Source organism: Homo sapiens, chromosome 22 (genome assembly GCF_000001405.40).
Source record: "Homo sapiens chromosome 22, GRCh38.p14 Primary Assembly".
Lineage (NCBI taxonomy): Eukaryota > Metazoa > Chordata > Mammalia > Primates > Hominidae > Homo > Homo sapiens.
The window spans coordinates 29,140,188-29,158,622 of NC_000022.11; the positions used below are offsets into that span (position 1 = coordinate 29,140,188).

General features: G+C 51.5%; 1 protein-coding gene across 6 annotated transcripts in view, besides 4 other annotated features; it reads left to right on the forward strand.

The window, feature by feature from the left end:
- Positions 1 to 18,435, forward strand: part of KREMEN1 (kringle containing transmembrane protein 1) — a 95,299-nt gene that overhangs the window by 67,153 nt on the left and 9,711 nt on the right. For 5 of the 6 annotated variants that reach the window (XM_011530429.3, NM_001039570.3, XM_011530430.3 and 2 more), the window contains 2 exons: positions 95 to 179; positions 1,757 to 6,633. In XM_011530429.3, the coding sequence (XP_011528731.1) occupies positions 95 to 179; positions 1,757 to 1,925 (254 nt within the window). In that variant the 3' untranslated portion in view covers positions 1,926 to 6,633. Of the gene's footprint in view, positions 1 to 94; positions 180 to 1,756; positions 6,634 to 18,435 lie in introns of those variants that run through there. The other variant, NM_032045.5, reaches the window with a different exon arrangement.
- Positions 810 to 1,311: an enhancer, noted in NCBI's record as "H3K4me1 hESC enhancer chr22:29536985-29537486 (GRCh37/hg19 assembly coordinates)". NCBI's record gives its function as "activates a minimal SCP1, AML or CMV promoter by ChIP-STARR-seq in naive H9 embryonic stem cells {active_cell/tissue: H9 hESC(naive)}" and the evidence as "EXISTENCE:reporter gene assay evidence [ECO:0000049][PMID:30033119]".
- Positions 1,312 to 1,811: an enhancer, noted in NCBI's record as "H3K4me1 hESC enhancer chr22:29537487-29537986 (GRCh37/hg19 assembly coordinates)". NCBI's record gives its function as "activates a minimal SCP1, AML or CMV promoter by ChIP-STARR-seq in naive H9 embryonic stem cells {active_cell/tissue: H9 hESC(naive)}" and the evidence as "EXISTENCE:reporter gene assay evidence [ECO:0000049][PMID:30033119]".
- Positions 5,598 to 6,298: an enhancer, noted in NCBI's record as "H3K4me1 hESC enhancer chr22:29541773-29542473 (GRCh37/hg19 assembly coordinates)". NCBI's record gives its function as "activates a minimal SCP1, AML or CMV promoter by ChIP-STARR-seq in primed H9 embryonic stem cells {active_cell/tissue: H9 hESC(primed)}" and the evidence as "EXISTENCE:reporter gene assay evidence [ECO:0000049][PMID:30033119]".
- Positions 11,674 to 12,457: an enhancer, noted in NCBI's record as "NANOG-H3K27ac-H3K4me1 hESC enhancer chr22:29547849-29548632 (GRCh37/hg19 assembly coordinates)". NCBI's record gives its function as "activates a minimal SCP1, AML or CMV promoter by ChIP-STARR-seq in primed H9 embryonic stem cells {active_cell/tissue: H9 hESC(primed)}" and the evidence as "EXISTENCE:reporter gene assay evidence [ECO:0000049][PMID:30033119]".

Sequence of the window (18,435 nt, forward strand, 5' to 3'; positions counted from 1 at the left end):
TCAGCCAGACTTACTCACTTGGGTATTCCAGCCGACCTCCTTTCGAAAACCAACCATAAACAAGTCTGGTAAGCTCTGTCTTTTGCACTTGCAGGATGGACAGTCTATGGTCTGGCAACTCTCCTCATCCTCACAGTCACAGCCATTGTAGCAAAGATACTTCTGCACGTCACATTCAAGTGAGTACAAGAGGGAGCTGCCCAATTCCAGGAAAGGGAAGGCTCAGAGTTCATTTTCTATGATGCTTCATTTGTCTGGTTACAACTGTAGAATAAGCACATGATTCCAAAGCCCTCAGTCCTAGGGAACGGAAGGCAGCAGACATTCCCCCTTCTTTGTAGAGTGAAATGTACAACTGGACAAATCTCATTAAGGTTTCAGGGATTTTGTTTGCTCTGTGTCCAAGGCATACAATTTCAAGGAGGATTGCAACATTCCTGGCTTAAAAAGCAAATGTGCTAGTCCCTTACGGAGATCTTTATGCAAGACTGAAGATAGCTAGGACGATGCCGTGCATACTTCCTGATGCCTTCTAGAAATTGAGAAACATCCTTAGGAAGAGAATTCTCACATTTTATTAACTATTGCTCAGTAGTTATTTTAAAACAGTTATTGAAAAAACTTATGGAAGCTTTATCATTCAATTCTGACCAATTTGGGTTAAAATATATTTCCTTCCCTTATTTTGCTATTCAAGTCTAACAGTTCCACCTTCCAGGAAAGGGGCAATTGTTCATGCTACTAATGTTTGTGTACTTAGAGGGGAGCTCGTTCTAATTTTTCCTAGACCCCTACTCTGTCTTTCCGGTGCTTTCTACTCCAGGTTCTTCTCATTTCACAGCCTCCCTGAAAATGTATGTATGTCCACTAAAAGCTGTCTTTTTCCTGACCGTCTCACTTGCCCTCTGCTACAGACTTCTTATACATTAAATGCGAGCTCTTCCATTGCGTTGTGAATGCTGCCTTTGGCCACATTGGAACCCCTTTACATAGACACCTCCACCCTACACTTGAAATTTTTAGTGGAAATAATGTCCTCGTGTGTGTGTGTGTGTGTGTGTGTCTGCATGTGCATGTGTGTGTGTGTGTGTCTGTGTCTGTGTGTGTGTGTCTGTGTGTGTGTGTATGTGTGTTTTAAAGTCACAATTCACATGCTCTGGGGAAGCCTCTCAGGCTCAGTCCTGACCACATCCCCTGTGGCAGCAAGAGAGCCCAATGCTTCCTATAGCGTCCAGCATCTGATAGCATGGCTGAGGCCCTAAAGTGCATGCCTAACTCTCCTCTGACATCGGCTGCAGCTTCCCTGCCAGGCAGCCGTGGGGGCTGAACAGAGTCCGGGCCAGCACCGGAGGCTAGACGGGTCTCTGCTTGAAGCAGAGAAGTTTTGTGTTTATCTTGTTTTAGCTAGGTGGGCTTCCAGGTAAATGGCATTTGAAGACAGTTCTTTTATTTAAAATAAAAGAATTTGAAAATCCATAATCTCTCAGGCTGGGCTTTTCCAGATTTGAAGAATTCTGCTAGTTAGAAAGTTCTTTGTTATTCTGATGCAGACGCTGCCCTGCTGCACTTGGCCTCAGCCCCTGCTGCCCACAGGCCACATTTCAGTTGCACGCTAGTCCTTCAGATCTTTAGAGGTGGCTGTGAGGTCCTTCCCAAGACCTTGCCCCACCCCATTTCATAGATACAGTATCTCGTGAGATGGTAGGTTGTTTGCGTTGTTCTAATCTATTGGAAAAAATATTTATCTGCTTGACAGATCCCATCGTGTTCCTGCTTCAGGGGACCTTAGGGATTGTCATCAACCAGGGACTTCGGGGGAAATCTGGAGCATTTTTTACAAGCCTTCCACTTCAATTTCCATCTTTAAGAAGAAACTCAAGGGTCAGAGTCAACAAGATGACCGCAATCCCCTTGTGAGTGACTAAAAACCCCACTGTGCCTAGGACTTGAGGTCCCTCTTTGAGCTCAAGGCTGCCGTGGTCAACCTCTCCTGTGGTTCTTCTCTGACAGACTCTTCCCCTCCTCTCCCTCTGCCTCGGCCTCTTCGGGGAAACCCTCCTCCTACAGACTAGGAAGAGGCACCCTGCTGCCAGGGCAGGCAGAGCCTGGATTCCTCCTGCTTCATCGATTGCACTTAGGAGAGAGACTCAAAGCCCTGGGGCCCGGCCCTCTCTGCATCTCTCTCTGATCTAGCTAGCAGTGGGGGTGTCAGGACAGTGAGGCTGAGATGACAGAGGTGGTCATGGCTGGCACAGGGCTCAGGTACATTCTAGATGGCTGTCAGGTGGTGGGTAGCTTTAGTTACATTGAATTTTTCTTGCTTCTCTATTTTTGTCCACACACAAATCAGTTTCTCCTGATCTTTATGTCTTGGAACAGGGCCAGACAGGGAGAACTCTCAGGTACTCTTGGGAGTTGGTCCCATACAAGTGCGGACTCCTGGACATTAGCGAGGTGTAAAGAGGGCAGTGTCTGTGCTGCCCCGGCAGCTTTGCTCTCCAGATGCTGGACTAGGGTGGGCCTCCTTCAGCCTGGGAGGGTCTGAGAATAAGATCTAGTGACCCCCATTTATATCAAACCTGATACCTTACACATGGGCTTCTTTCTAGATTCTTCTTTCCATAGCTCATGGAGCTGCAGGGAAAGCTTTAAGAGCTTTGGTCATATAAAACATCCATTCAGCTGGGCGCGATGGCTCATGCCTGTAATCCCAGCACTGTGGGAGGCTGAGGCGGGCAGATCACCTGAGGTCAGGAGTTCGAGACCAGCCTGGCCAACATGGTGAAACCCCGTCTCTACTAAAAATATAAAAATTAGTCAGGCGTGGTGGCAGGCGCCTGTAATCCCAGCTACTCAGAAGGCTGAGACAGAAGAACAGCTTGAACCCAGGAGGCTGAGATTGCAGTGAGCCGAGATCGCACCACTGCACTCCAGCCTGGGTGACAAGAGTGAGACTCTGTCTCAAAAAAACAAAACACAAATAAACAAAAAAAATCCATTCATTTACTCATGCAATAAATTCTCCTGCAAGCTTTTATGGGCACTCAGTAAGTACTCAGGATTGGCTTTATCAGCCTTGCCACTGAGCAGCTCATGGTCCTATGGAACCTGAGCCAGGCCTCAGTCTCTCCATGATTGGCTCAGCTAACTCTCAGTTCAGAGTGGAGAGTATCAATCTTGTGTTTTTGCCCTTAGGCAGCACTATATGAGACATGGGGCCTGTGGTCCTTCCTTCTGGTGTCCCCCGTGTTAAAAGATAAAAAACACCCCAAGGGCCGGGCGCGGTGGCTCATGCCTGTAATCCCAGCACTTTGGGAGGCTGAGGCGGGTGGATCACGAGGTCAGGTGATCGAAACCATCCTGGCTAAGATGGTGAAACCCCGTCTCTACTAAAAATACAAAAAATTAGCTGGGTGTGGTGGTGGGCGCCTGTAGTCCCAGCTGCTCGGGAGGCTGAGGCAGGAGAATGGCGTGAACCCGGGAGGCGGAGCTTGCAGTGAGCAGAGATCACGCCACTGCACTCCAGCCTGGGTGACAGTGCAAGACTCTGTCTCAAAAAAAAAAAAAACACTCCAAGGGCCATCCGTGCTCTCTGCCCCTCCTGTGGGGACCAAGTGGGGTTAGGAATGGCTCAGTGGGGAAGGAGAGCACTCTTGTCCCCAGTCCCTTGCCACCCTGTCCCTTAGATAGGGAGGTGGGCTGCAGAGATTGGTGCCAGAAGAGGGTGGGTTTGGGAATTGGAGCTCCTCCAAGGAGCTCCTCCTAAGATTGAGTGCTGCAGCTGTAGTGGCTGCTGGTTGGGAGAGTAAGTGCCATCACTAATTTAAAAGTCCTTGCCATCTGGAATCAGGCTTTGTCAACAGCAGCTGAGAAAAGCAGCCTGTGCCTCTGCTGGCCAGGCCTAGGCCCTCGTCAGAGCGTGCCTCTCCACAAGGCACTTGGGCCTGGGTGATTGTTGCGCCTCTGGCTTTGGCGTTTCCTCTTTGCAGCACTTTGCCTACCTCCCCCAAGCCCTGAGCCACTGCCTGCTGGGGCTCCTACTGAGGTTCTGGAAACACCTCTGCACCTGCCGCCCCTGGGAGGAAAGAGGGCCACACAGGAAGTGTCTGCAGGGAGAGGTGGCACTCGGCAGCCTGAGTTCAGGAGAGGTGCTTGGAGCTTCAGGCAGAGGGGCCTTCAGAGGAGGGAAACGGAGCAATGTGTCACAGGCAGGCAGGGGCAGGACTGCCACCCCAGGCCCCGTGGGAGGCCTGCTGAGGGCACAGAGCTGCTCGGTGCAGCCTTCATGCTTTGATCTGGAAAGAGCAGCTGTCCGCAGGCCTCTGTCTCCAAGAGGCCTGTCACACAGGAGGACCGCTGGAAACATACCAACACGTGCAGTCTCCCCTCCAAGCTATTCATGCTGTTTGTGGAATCTCTCTCAAACATAAGTGTCAGGTGTGTGTCGTCCCAACGGGTCCTGTGCTGTGAATAGATCCATGTGCAGCACAAAGGGAATGTGGCACGTGGCCCCAGGAAGAGTTCACCCGGCCAGGGGGCAGTTGTTCAGTTGCCTGGGGCTGACACTGACCACTGGCCTCTGGGGTGTCCTGCAGCCCAAATGCCCACCTTGCCCTCCTCACATCTCAGTCAGGGGAGGCCATGCCCAAGCCAATGTGCTGTCACAGCCTGCAGCGGGGGCAGCACTTCCTCGGAGGGCCTGGGAGGTGCTGGGGATGCCCCAGCGCTTCTCTTCCTGCCTCGCCCTGGCATGGCCCAGCGCCTCTAGGATCAACTTACGATCCGTGGAGCAGCCCCGGGAAACCCAAATCTGGCTCAGGACAGCGTACGGGCAGGAGGGCTGTAAATCATCCCAGGCTAAGCCTCCGTGGGCACTGGCTCCTGCCGCAGCCTGGCTATGGACTCAGTTAGAACCAGGTAGAAAGTCAGCGACACCCCACAGAAGGCCACTGCGGCTAGGTAAACACCTGAGAAAGAAACTGCTCCAGAAGAGATGACGTGGGCTTCCAGGAGCATGGAGGAGGTGGCACTTGAACTTTTAGGAAACTCCTTAGATGAGATAAAGTGGGGGTTGGAGGTGGCGAAAAGAGGGTAACCCTGGGAAAGTCAGTCAGAACCCATGGCAGAAGACTGCAGGAGAGGCAGGGGAGGGGCTTCGGGGACCACTGTGGACAGAGCTCTGAAAGCACCCTGGCCAAAGCCCCTCCTGAGGTGACAGAGCGTGGGAGGAGGCTGCACTGGGCCTGCGTGCCATCCTCACCCCTGTTCCCCGCTGGCGCCAGGCCCTGCCTTCTTGGTACCTGTGCCAACAGGAGAGCCCTCACCAGCCGATCTTGTCACTCTCCGTGGTGACAGTGTCTTGGCCAGCTGTGGCCCCTAGTTTCTAGCAGCGTTTCTCAGTGTCCTTGGCCCTTCTGAGAAGGCAGGCGGGAGGCACACGGTGCCCTGTTCTTCCCCGTTTGTCCAGTTGCTTGCAAAGCAGAGAATGAGTAGGAGTGAACCCGAGTGACTTCACCCGCCCTGTCCCCCACGTCAGGACAGGCTTGAGGCCTCTCTGGGCGTGAGCGAGGAAACCAGGCTGCTCTAACTTCTGAAGAGTGGGCTCTGGCTCAAGACTCCAATCGGCCAGAAGCCCACAGAGATCAAAGCACTAGCAAGTTCAGCTGTCCTGGCCCTCGGGTAGAACCCACGGGCGTGCCTGGGTGCGGCTCCACCCACATGCCCCACTGTCAGCCCAGGCAGGAGCCTTCCTGGCCGGGCTCAGGATCTGCCTGCAGCCCAGCCAGGCCATCACCCAGCCCCGATGCATCCTGGCACTGCACGCTTACTCTTCACAAGCACTTATACGCGGATGGCCTCCGAGACCCTGCCTCCCTGGTCTGCTGAGGTCAGGCCAGGTCTCCCACGGAGCCGGGCAGCTCCACACCCCACCACCTGGCACCGTTAGGTTTCAGATCTCCCGTGTGGTGTTTGATGTCGGCTTTTGTTCCTACCTTGGGAGTTTGGATTGTTTCCTCTGGTGTCTTTGTTTACCTTCCTCACTGTTCTACCTCCTGGCCAGGTCTCAGCTTAGCTTCCCTGGTGTGGGGTGTTTTTCAAGCCTTCCAGCCACAGCTGTCTCCCCTCAGGCTGGACGGCTCCGGGGTGACAGGGCTTCACCCTCTGCCTGCAGACCCCTGGTGGGCACATCTCACAGGCTTCCGTCTTGCTGAGTTGGGTACGGAGGCAGAAGTGGGGTGTGGAGGAAAGTCAGAGGGAAATCTGCTTCAGAAAGGAAGGGTCTTTAGACACAAAGACTGGAGGCCCTTCCCCGCCCGCACGGGAGCTGCCATCGTGGGTCTCATGCACGTCAAGACCTTCCCACATCCAAACTCAGCTTCCAGCAGGGATTTTGACTTTGGATGACAAGGCTTTATTTGTAAATATGCTCTTAATATGCAACTTTGAGAATAAAATAGAAACATCATGTATTTTAAAATATAAGATGAAGTGTGACGCACTGTATACAATTTAATATATATTTTTAGGGTTTTGTTATTTAAGAAAATGGAATGTAATGGTACTTTTACAAACGAGAAAAAATGTTATTTTTACTTTCTGGAAAAAATAAATATTCTCATTGTTGTAGAAAGAGTGATGGGCCCTATGCTGTCATTTCTATGGGAGTTCCCCAGAGAGCGTGGGACAAGCGGAGGGTGTCTGTGGTGGGATTCCTGCCTCCCCTTGGGTGCCAGTCCTCGCCTTTTGCTTGCTGTTTCCTAGTAGTGCCTCCAAATTTCTTCCAGTCTTGTGACAGCTTCGACCCACAGCCGACCTTCAGCTGGTACGATCTGAAAGATTAGGTACTCCAAAACCATTGCATTGCAGCCCACATCCAAGGAGGGTCAGGGCAGAGCACAAGGCTCTGCAGCAGAGAGATCTGGGCTCGAGCCGGCCTAGATCCAGTCCCTCGACTACTCAGCCTCAGCTTCCCCATCTGAAAAGGGTAATGGAATCTATTCCTCAGGAGGCTATGGAGGCTATGTTTTGACAAAATGCCTCTAAAGTGCTTATGTAATTATTATCCCAGGTGGAACTGACCTTGCCTCTCAGAGCAACCAGTTCTTCCTCTCCACCCCCTTCTTGCCCCACACTTTCCTTCTTAGGAAGGAAAGAAGCTAATAGAAGCTCCACGTATGAGCTGCCCACTCTGCGCCAGGCACTCTGCTGGCAGACACTGTGCATATCCTACAACTCTTCGCCATGGGTACCACTTTCCCTCTTTGGCAGATGAGACAGCTCAGGCATGGAGAGGCTGTGGGGGACAGTAGCTGGGAGCACAGCCCTGGAGTCAGCCCTCCAGGATTCAGTTTCCTCCATTCATTCTCTGTGAGGCCAGTGAGGGTAAAACAGGGAGCCTTTGAAGGGTTTCAGCGGAGGAGTGACATCAGATTCCCAGTTTAGAAAGCATTCCTCCTTGCATCTGGGAAAACAGATCTGAGCGGGGTAAGACCGAGGGCAAGGAAACCAGTCGGGAGACTCTACAGGCCCAGCCAGGAGATGCTGAGGGCATGCCTGGGCCCCCAAGCCAGTGCTGTGGAGAGAGATGCTGACTGCACTCCCAGGGCAGGGGCACGTGCATGGGGCTGGGTAGCTCAGGCTCACATCCCAGTTCCACTGTTCACCATGTGACCTGGGGTGAGTAACACGGCCCTGTGTGCCTGTTTTCTCACCTGTCAAATGGAGACAGTTATAGTACCTGCCTTTGTGAGGCATTGGGCTGTATGAATTATTATTACCTGCAGTATGTTTTCCATCAAAGGTAGATGTTCCTTTCATTCTAGAATAGAGGTGGGGGTTAAGAATGAGGAGGTGTCTGGGATGGTGCTCCGGTACCTGACATGGGTGCCTGAGCGGAGAGAGGGGCCACTCTTCGACATAAGGAATGTAAAAGGAGCCAGGTGTGAGAGGAAACCTGATGAGTTCTTTTGGGCTAAGTCCACTGCAGTCGCTGTGGGACACTGAGGCAGAGCTGTCCGGCAGGCATTGGACAGACAGCCTGAGCCCCCCACAAGGAGCACAGGGCTCTGCACAACCCAAGGAAACATGGGCAAAGGTGGCATCCTCAGGGTGAGTGTTGGGGCCACCCCTCAGAAGGCTATGGGGGACAGCGTCCTGGGATGCACTGAGGCAGTGAGGGAGTGCCTGGCAGGACCAAGGTGGGCAGGAGTAGGACAGGAGACAAGGACTCCCCTGGAAGCCAAAGAACCTATTGGCAAAATTGTTTTTTTTGTTTTTTTTTTTTGGAGACGGAGTTTTGCTCATCACCCAGGATGGAGTATGGTGGTGCAATCTCTGCTCACTGCAACCTCCGCCTCCCGGGTTCAAGCGATTCTCCTGCCTCAGCCTCCCGGAGTAGCTGGAATTACAGGCGCCCGCCACCACGCCCAGCTAATTTTTGTATTTTTAGTAGAGATGGGGTTTCACCATGTTGGCCAGGCTGGTCTCAAACTCCTAACCTCAGGTGATCCGCCCGCCTCGGCCTCCCAAAGTGCTGGGATTACAGGTGTGAGCCACCGCGCCTGGTGAGCAAAGCTTCTAACCTGACTGGCACACACAGACTGCTCGTGCTTTGAGTCCCAGTTCCAGATTCTCAGGAGACAGCTTGGCCAGGTGAAATCTCCCTCATCCAGCCAGTTTTTGCTAGGATAGTGTTCTCTGAGAAAAGAGGGCACAGGCCAGTCCAGCTAAAGAATATTACCACCGCAGACGTGGCTCTCGGTGGGATGCATTTGACCACTTGCCTGGGAATCCCTATGTGCTCTGTTAAACTTCAGGTTCCCGGGCCCCACCCCAGACCTACCACATCAGAATCCCTGGAAGCATTGCCTCGACATGGAGTCCGTGCCCTTCACTTCACCACTGTCCCCTCCCTGGCTAACTTCTGCCTCCACCCTGCAGCCAGCCCCCATGCTGCCGCAGATGTTGCAACATAATGGCACCTTTTTTTTTTTTGAGACGGAGTCTCGCTCTGTCTCCAGGCTGGAGTGCAGTGGCGCTATTTCAGCTCACTGCAACCTCCGCCTCCTGGGTTCAAGCGATTCTCCTGCCTCAGCCTCCCGAGTAGCTGGGACTACAGGCACGTGCCACCATGCCCAGCTAATTTTTGTGTTTTTAGTAGAGACGGGGTTTCACCATGTTGGCCAGGATGGTCTCGATCTCTTGACCTGATGATCCGCCCACCTTGCCCTCCCAAAGTGCTGGTATTACAGGCGTGAGCCACCGCGTCCGACCCATGATGGCCCCTTTAAAGGTCAGCTTCACTTGACTGTTTATCTTCACTGGGCTTTCCTTCTCTCTCCTAGAGGCTCTTTCCTTCCATGAAGGAAAATATTTTTAATGGCAGGAAATGGCTGGTGGAAAACAAACAGGGCGGCCTTGCTGGTGAATTTCTTAGGGACAAATTACGCTGCAATAGAAAAATAAAATAAATGCAGCCAGAATGTGCAACTGTCCCACCTGAAGAACCCCTTTGGGATTATGGGACAATGAGGCCAGGATGAGACCCTCAAACCCATCTGAGTGGACTCTGGGGACCACTGACCTTGCCCTGTGTTCTCCTGAACCTGACAGATGCAGATATTGGAGAATCCACCACCCGGGAGCCAGCACCAGGGCAGCACCAGCCCCATCCTTTGTCAGGCAGTCAAAGGCTCTTCTTCCTGTGAAGGGGAACGGGGCTGGACAAGGGTGACCTTGTCTCCAGGCTTGGAAGTCACATGACCATCTTCTTTCCCCTCTGGGCCATGCGTGCCTGAAACTGCAGACAGTCTCTAGAACTCAGAGAACTGGGAAGCTTTTGTTCCTCTGTGGCGAGGTCGGGTCCCGATGGGGGATTGTTTTCGCTCAGCTCAAAGGGACACTTTAGAGATAGAATACTTCAACCTTAAGAAGCAGCAACATTTGCTTGTAGCTGGAAGTCTTCATTTCTGGTCTCCAGCTGTTGTCTGGAGCCACCAGGCCTCCCCTGAATGGGCCTATGCCCAGCAACTGGTGGGGGGGGGGGCAGTGCCTGCCGGACTGAACATGAACCAGTCTGTGCAGGACGCCCATCTCCAGGACAGCTTGGCTGCAAGGACACCCTGTCCCCTCCCGGTGGTGGTTGCTGGGCTTTGGAATAAACCCGTTAGCTCTGGGTGACTGAGCGGGGAAAAGGGGCTCCACAAGAAGCGTTTTAGGGGGAAAGTAGACCCAAGCTTGAGCTCCAGAGTAACCCCTCCGGGAGAAACACCAAACACTCGGAAACAGCCAGGGCTTTCGCAACAGTGAAGCTGCAGATCCCATTTATTTCCGTCTTAGTAGCATTGTCTCTGTTCAAATGAGGTCACTGAACTTTTAAAAACTTCACTGAGGGTCGTGCTTCTTTGCATATTGATCATGTGAATGTTTAGTGGACTTGCCTTAGTTGCTGGTACCTAAGATAGAGATTAAGGGCCCTCAAGGGGTATTCAGACCTCAAATTCAGCCAAACACAGGCGCAGCTTTTCCTGGGTCTGAGTGAGCTGAGGAAAGCACTTTTGAATGTGCAAGGACAATAAGATTAATAACCACTACCATCTCTGCAGTACGTACTGTGTACCAGACGCTGTGCCAAGTGACCAACAGACATTACCGAATTCATCTTTGCCGCAACCCAACAAGGGAACTGAGGGTCAGAGAAGGGGTCCAGCCAGGGGCCGCCAAGGTTCGGACTCAGCCTGGGACCACTGGCTCCAAAGCTGGGGGTCCTTACTCCTGTTGAGCTGCAGGCCCCTCCAACACAGGCAGTGGGTGGGCCCCCAAATAGCTCATCTTCAAGGATATGGCCTCCGGAAAGCCCAGGGAAAGTGTGGATCGATTTTCCTGGGTCAAGGAAGAATCAAACCTACACTTCTTTACCTATTTGATGACACAAACCCCTTTGAGAACCAGGGGTTGGATGGAGCCTCTCCCTGCAAAAAAGACCCCATCTGCCAAACTGCAGGGGTCCAGAGACCCCCTGCCCCCTGAAACCCTTCCATGGACCTCAGGTTTAGAATCTCTCCATTAAGCCATGAGCATGATTATTTGAAAGTTAAAATGAGGCCAGAAGGGATAATAGTAACAGTCATAATAATACGAATAACAGGATACATTTTACTGATCACCTGTTGTCAGGCATTTATGCCAGGGGTCGGCAAACATTTTCTGTAAAAGGCTAAATACTAAACATTTTAGACTTTGCAGGCTATACAGTCTCAGATCCATTGACCAGAACCACAGGCCAGCCACTGGGACCCTGGATGACTCCAACAAGCCCTGGAGCCATCTACGCAACTCCATGAGGAGTCGGGGGATGGGGGCCACCAAGCTCCCCTTGTTATTAGCCACAGACAATATGTAAACAAATGGTCACGCTTGTGTTCCCATAAAACTTCACGGACACCAAAACCTGAAGTTTATATAATGTTCATGTGTCACGAAATGCTACAAAATGCTATTCTTTTGATTTTTTCCCCCCAAAATTAAAAAGTGTAAAAACCGGCCAGGCATGATGTCTCATGCCTGTAATCTCAGCACTTTGGGAGGCTGAGGTGGGTGGATCACTTGAGGTCAGGAGTTTGAGACTAGCCTGGCCAACATGGTGAAACCCTGTCTCTACTAAAAATATAAAAATTAGCCAGGTGTGGTAGCACATGCCTGTAATCCCAGCTACTCAGGAGTCTGAGGCAGGAGAATTGCTTGAACCGGGGAGGTGGAGGTTGCCGTGAGCCGAGATTGTGCCATTGCACTCCAGCCTGGGAGACAGAGCAAGACTCTGTCTTAAAAAAAAAAAAAAAAAGCACAGGAGTCAGGATTTGAGCCCACTCCCAAGCCTGTTTGCTTTCCTAAGAGACAAGATGGGTACATTTAAATTGTGGAGGAAGAAAAGGTGACAGTGAAGCAGGAAGGAAGACCCAGGAGCAAGGGCAGTCCCCTGGGCCCTGGGAATATCAGGCAGAGAGGCTCCATCCTCCTGCAGTCTTTGCTGAATGGTCTGCACTGCAGGGGAGGGCGGCTGGTTTCCTGAGCCATCCCTCTAACCCCCTACAAGCGGCTCCAAGGACAGAGTCTCCAGATCCAGGACAGCTGGTGGCCTTCACATTGTTTTGCGTCTCCCAGGTTCTCTTAATTATAACCAATTTGCCACCCTCAGCAATTCCTTGTTCCCCTCTGCTAATACCCATGAGTTGGAACCATCAGCCGAACTCCCAGCCAAACAGGCTAAAATCACTTCCCTTTCCCATGTAGGGAGTCCTCCAGTCTCTTAGAAACTCGCCTTTCTTCTCAGTCCTGTGAGACGGGCGAGGCCTGCCCTTCTGTGCGCTGACTTACTGGGCTGGGATCTGCCCTAGCGGGAGACAGAATCTGCTCAACTTTCTCCAGCTCCTCCCCGCCCCTTGCACCCCTCCACTCTCCCCCCAACCCCTCCTGCTGACTCTTGGGGCTCTGGCACACTGCCTGCCAAGCACAACCTTTCCTTTTTTTCCTCTCTCTAAAGACAGGGTCTCACTCTGTCGCCCAGGCTGGAGAGCAGTGGCACCGTCACAGGGTAAACTCCAAAACTGGGATTCAGCCTGGGGGTGCCCCATGGGTTCCTGGCTTGAAGCAGGAAGGAACTCAAGAGTGAGCTGACAGTAAAGTGAAAGCAAGTCTATTAAGAAAGTAAAGGAATAAAGGAGGGCTACTCCATAGGGAGAGCAGCGGCATGGGCTGCTTGACTGAGTAGACTTACGGTTATTTCTTGATGATATACTAAACAAGGGATGGATTATTCATGAGTTTTCTGGGAAAGGGGTGGGGAGTTCCCGGAACTGAGGGTTCCTTCCCTTTTTAGACCATATAGGGTAACTTCCAGATATTGCCATGGCATTCATAAACTGTCATGGCCCTGGTGGGAGTGTCTTTTCACATGCTAATGAATTATAATTAGCATATAATGACCAGTGAGGACAACCAGCCATGTTGGTTTTGGCGGGTTTTGTCCGGCTTCTTCACTGCATCTCATTTTATCAGCGGGGTCTTTGTGACCTGTATCTTGTGAAGCCAGTCCTGCCGACCTCCTATCTCATCCTGTGACTAAGAATGCCCAGCCTCCTTAGAATGCAGCCCAGCTGGTCTCAGCCTCATTTTATTCAGCCCCTATTCAAGATGGAGTCGCTCTGTTTCCATTGCCTCTGACAGCACAATCATAGCTCATTGCAGCCTCACTCTCCTGGGTTTGAACAATCCTTCCATCTCAGCTTCCTGAGTAGCTGGGACCACAGGCGTGGGCTGCTACGTCCAGCTGATTTTTTCTTTTTTTTTTAATTATTGTAGAGACAGCGTCTCACTATGTTGCCCAGGTTAGTCTTGAACTCCTGGGCTCAAGTGATCCTCTCGTCTTGGCCTCCCGAAGTGCTGAGATTACAGGCACCAGCCACCATGCCTGGCTCCTTTATAACCTCCATTTATTCATCTAGAAAATAGGTACAGGCTGGGCATGGTGGCTCATGCCTATAATCCCAGCACTTTGGGAGGCCGAGGCGGGCGGATCACCTGAGGTCAGGAATTTGAGACCAGCCTGGCCAACATGTTGAAACCCCGTCTCTACTAAAGATACAAAAAAATCAGCCTGGCGTGCTACTCCCTAGCTACTCCGGGAGGCTGAGGCAGGAGAATCGCTTGAACCTGGGAGGCGGAGGTTGCAGTGAGCCGAGATCTAGTCACTGCACTCCAGCCTGGGTAACGGCAAGACTTCCTCTCAAAAAAAAAAAAAAGAAAGAAAAGAGATACAGCAGTAGTTTCTCATAGGGTTGTTGTGAAGATTAAATGAAATAAGAAAGGTACAATATTTAGCTCAGTGACTGGCCTGTGAGTCCTCAATACATTTTAACAATTTTTATCAGTAAACTCAGGGGACCACCAGGAGCAGGGGGCACCTCAGATTTGCCCTGCCTTTCAGATTGAGAACCCTATTTATCAAACTCCAAGTTTACAATGCACAAAGTAGGGGCAGTTCCCTCCTTAGAGAATAATTCCTGACTTGGTTCCTTCAAGTAGCTGGTTTCCCCCAGGACCTTCAATATGTGACCCCATTTAATAAAGGTATCTATTGACCTTTACTTTCTTAGGGACCTAGCTGTTGGGTGAAAATACCCTTTTCTGCCGACTCCCTGCCTGCAGTGGATTTCCTTATCTGTTGCTTCAGGTAAGGGAACAAATGCAGAATTTGAATGTCCTCATAGTTCCCCCAATGCTGCAGGTGGACAAATAGGCTAAGGCCCCTGGCCCAGCTGGCAGAGGTAAGGAGCTGCCCGCCCGCCCAGCTCCCGCTGCGGCAGAGCCCCCAGCCGCCGCCTCCTGCCGCCCTCGCCTTTCCTGCAGGAGCCGTCCCAGCGCAGGCTTGCTCACCAGCGCCGCCCCGTGGTAAGACTGCAGATCTGCGGAAGAAGGCCAGCCCTGAACCGCAACTGCTCTCAAGCCCTTCCATTACAGTTACACGGATTTTTTGCCCAGCGCGGTGATGCGTGCCTGTAATCCCAGCTACTCTGGAGGCTGAGAGGAAGGATGCCTTGAGCCCAGGAGTTCAGAATCAGCCTGGGCAAAATTGCGAGAGAAAAGAAAAAAGAAAAAAATAATGTCACAGGTGTCCTGACTCTAAACCTGGACATTAGCCCAGGTCTCACTCTCACCAAGCCCTCTAAAGAACTCATTCTATCAGATAAGTGATCAGATGAATTATTCTACCTCCATACTATGAAATCCTATGTCACCATTGAAATTAATGTGGTGTATAATCTCCAAAGGCAATGAAAAAAAAAGAACAAATTAATGTAGTGCTTCTACACACACTGTATCAGAATATCTTACGTGAAAAAAGTCAAAGAACAAAGCATAAGTGTAATTTTTTTTTTTTGGCCAAATTTTAAAAAGAGGGAGGGAAATATATGTATGTGTATACAAAGGCACCAGCAAAGTCCTGCAAGTTCTGTGCCTAACTCTTATTGTGGTCACCTTTGGAAAAGGAAAGGAAGAAGACAGGAGGAGGCCAGGGGCAGTTGCTTACGCCTGTAATCCCAGCACTTTGGGAGGCCAAGGTAAGTGGATCTCTTGAGCCCAGGAGTTCGAGACCAGCCTGGGCAACATGGCAAAACCCGGTGTCTACAAAAAATATAAAAATTAGCCAAGCATGGTGGTGTGTGCCTGTAGTCCTAGCTACTCAGGAGGCTGAAGTGGGAGAATCACTTGAGCCTGGGAGGTCTAGGCTGCAGTGAGCCGTGATCACGCCATTGCACTCCAGCCTGGGCAACAGAGTGAAACCCTGTCTCCAAAAAGGAAAAGAGAAGGTGAGGACACTTACATTTTCACATTTTATTTGATATATTTATATGTGGCTTGAATCTCTTACATTCATGCATTACATGTGCAAGTTTGAAAATAAAGTGCAGGTGGATTATTTTAAAATTTGGAGGCTGGGCCCGGTGGCTCACACCTGTAATTCCAGCACTTTGAGAGGCCAAGGCAGGAGGATCACCTGAGGTCAGAGGTTTGAGATCAGCCTGGTCAACATGGCGAAACCCCGTCTCTACTAAAAATACAAAAATTAGCTGGGTGTGGTGGCGCGTGCCTGTAATCCCAGCTACTCAGGAGGCTGAGGCAGGAGAATCACTTGAACCCAGGAAGCAGAGGTTGCAGTGAACTGAGACGGTGCCACTGCATTCCAGCCTGGGCAACAAGAGTGAAACTCCATCTCAAAAAAAAAAAAAAATTTGGAAAGCACACAAAACAAAAAGAACAACATAAGTCTCTCTCACTGTCACACTGCTCAGTGGAAGCACTGTTAAAAGGCTGGTGCATGTGTTTCCAGCACGCACTAGGAGCACTGAGGAACACTGCTTCCCCTGCTTGCCCCCAGGAAGGGGGCCTGGCCAATGCCCTGGACTAGACATCTATTCTGCTGTCCAGCATCACCCATGCCACTGCCCTGCCCCACCCTGAGCCACTCCTGGAGACACCTCCCAGTGCAGGGAGTCTCCCAGAAGCTTTGGGCCAGCAGAATGCTCAGCTCCCAAGCCAAAATGTCCTTCTCTTTGTTAACTACAAAATAAACATCTCCAGGCCCCCTGGGCCACTTGCAGTACAGATGTTTATGCCTTTGGAAAGAGACAAAAAGAGAAAGACTCTTGCAATTTCTCCCTGAGACAATGGGTGCCAAGTTGGTAATTAACCCTCAGCAACCAGGGCGTCTGATCTTCCACCAGCCAGTCTGCAGCAGGTTGTGGGAGTGATTGATTGGGCCTGTGCTAGAACTTGGTGATTGGTGGGCCTTCCAGGCCTTGGAATGCTCTCCGCACAGGAATGCTCTCCGCACAGGACGCTGGCTGCCTCTTCAAAACTCTAAATGAGGTACTAGGAACCCACCCCTAAGAAGGCCCCCACACTGCTGCATCCCATTCCAGATGAAGGGCTGTGAGCAGCCCTAGCATTCATCAAACCACTCGGGGGAGCCCCAGGGCCTGCACGCAGAGCTGGGAGGAGCAAGGCTGCTGAGGGGCAGGCACTCGGTCATCTTGACATTGCATTCACTAAACACCCTCGGACCAGGCTCCCCGCTCAACTCTACATACGGTGCCTTATTTCCTTTGACTCTCCCAGCAACCCCATGAGGTAGGTACAGTTCTATTCCAGTTTTTATAGATGAGGAAATTGAGTCTTGGAGAAATAAAGCCTGTGCTGCCATCACTTAATCCTGGGTGGATAACATCTCTTCTTCAGACAGGTGTTCCTAGACCAAGGTCATCCTGCTGGTAAGTGGGGGTAAAGATGGACTGAACCCTTTTTACAACTTTGAAGCCACACCTGCCCATCCCCACATATTCATATTGGAAAACTCTTTCCAGAGGGTTATCATCTTCAGGCTTCTACAAACTATGCCAAGTCAGAGGAGCCGACCTGTGGGGGCTCCACGCAAAGATTACAGTCAGGTCTTCCCTTGGATGTAGCCAGAGACAGCTGAGAGCTGTCCCCTGGACCAGAATTCCATCATGAGAGGCTGGGGGATTGCCTTCTTTCCAGTGGGGGAGCCGAGGCCCAGAGAGCAGAATTCGTGTCCAAGGCCCCACCATGACTTTGTTTTTCGTTGTGGTTTGAGATGGAGTCTCGCTCTTGTTGCCCAGGCTGGAGTGCAATGGCACGATCTCAGCTCACTGCAACCTCCACCTCCTGGGTTCAGGTGATTCTCCTGCCTCAGCCTCCCGAATAGCTGGGATTACAGGCATGTGCCACCACGCCCAGCTAATTTTTGTATTTTTAGTAGAAATGGTGTTTCACCATGTTGGCCAGGCTGGTCTCGAACTCCTGGCCTCAAGTGATCCACCTGCCTCGGCCTCCCAAAGTGCTGGGATTACAGGTGTGAGCCACCACATCCAGCCCCCACCATGACTTTGCCTCTGTGGCCAATGTCATGTCCATGGCTGCACGGAGCTTCCTGAAAACACGGAGGCTGGTGGCAAGGACCCGCCTTGGAAAATGGGGAGAAAGCCAATCCCCCTAGATACATCCCCTGAGCCCTTGGGCTGGGAGAAGGGCATTGTGTAGCCTCTAAGGGAGACTACAAAGTAAGAAGGGATTGCTTCCATCTTGTCATTCCACCATCTGTGTCACAAACAGGCAGGTCAGGGGAGCAAACATGGCAGAGGGACATGGCCTAGGAGTCCTGTACTTCATTTTCCCTCACATTTCATTGTCTGTTACAGGTCACATGGTCTCACCTGGATGCAAAGGCCACTGGGAAATGTAGTCTTCCAGTGGGCCAGGAGTTGTGTACAATGAAATTAGCGAATATATAGCCTGTCTCTGCCACACTATTCAAAAACTCGTAGTCATGTCAGGGCCCAGAATGCCTTGAGATTGTTGCTCAGCACATGAGAGCATGAGGCTGGAGAAGTGGGCTGGCCCAGTGTGAGAAACACGGGTAAAACACGGGGTACCAATTTGCAATCTAGCCCCATGTGGTCCAGGTTCCTCACGTGCAGCCAGCCATGGCAGTAGAGGGACAAAATGATGCCGGAGCAAGAGACAGAGTCCCCCAGATGAATGTCAAGGGAAACCCAATAGCCCTGAAGACATCAAGGGGAGGCCACGCCAGCCAAGATTCCTGGCTCACTTTGCAGAAAAGAGGATGTAAGAGGGCACTGGGGAAGGAAAAGGGAGAACAGCGGAGAGGCGCCGACATGGGGCACGGGGAATTCTAGGGAAACTGGGCCTGGAGGGCTGGAAAAGTCTCTGCCACCAGCAGGGCAGCTTCATGGATGTGCAGCCTCCACAGTCACACAGAGCCCATCCTCACAAAGGCCCCACATTTGGCCCTAGCTGTCACTGTCTTGAAATTCTTAATCATTTTCCAAGAAGGGGCCC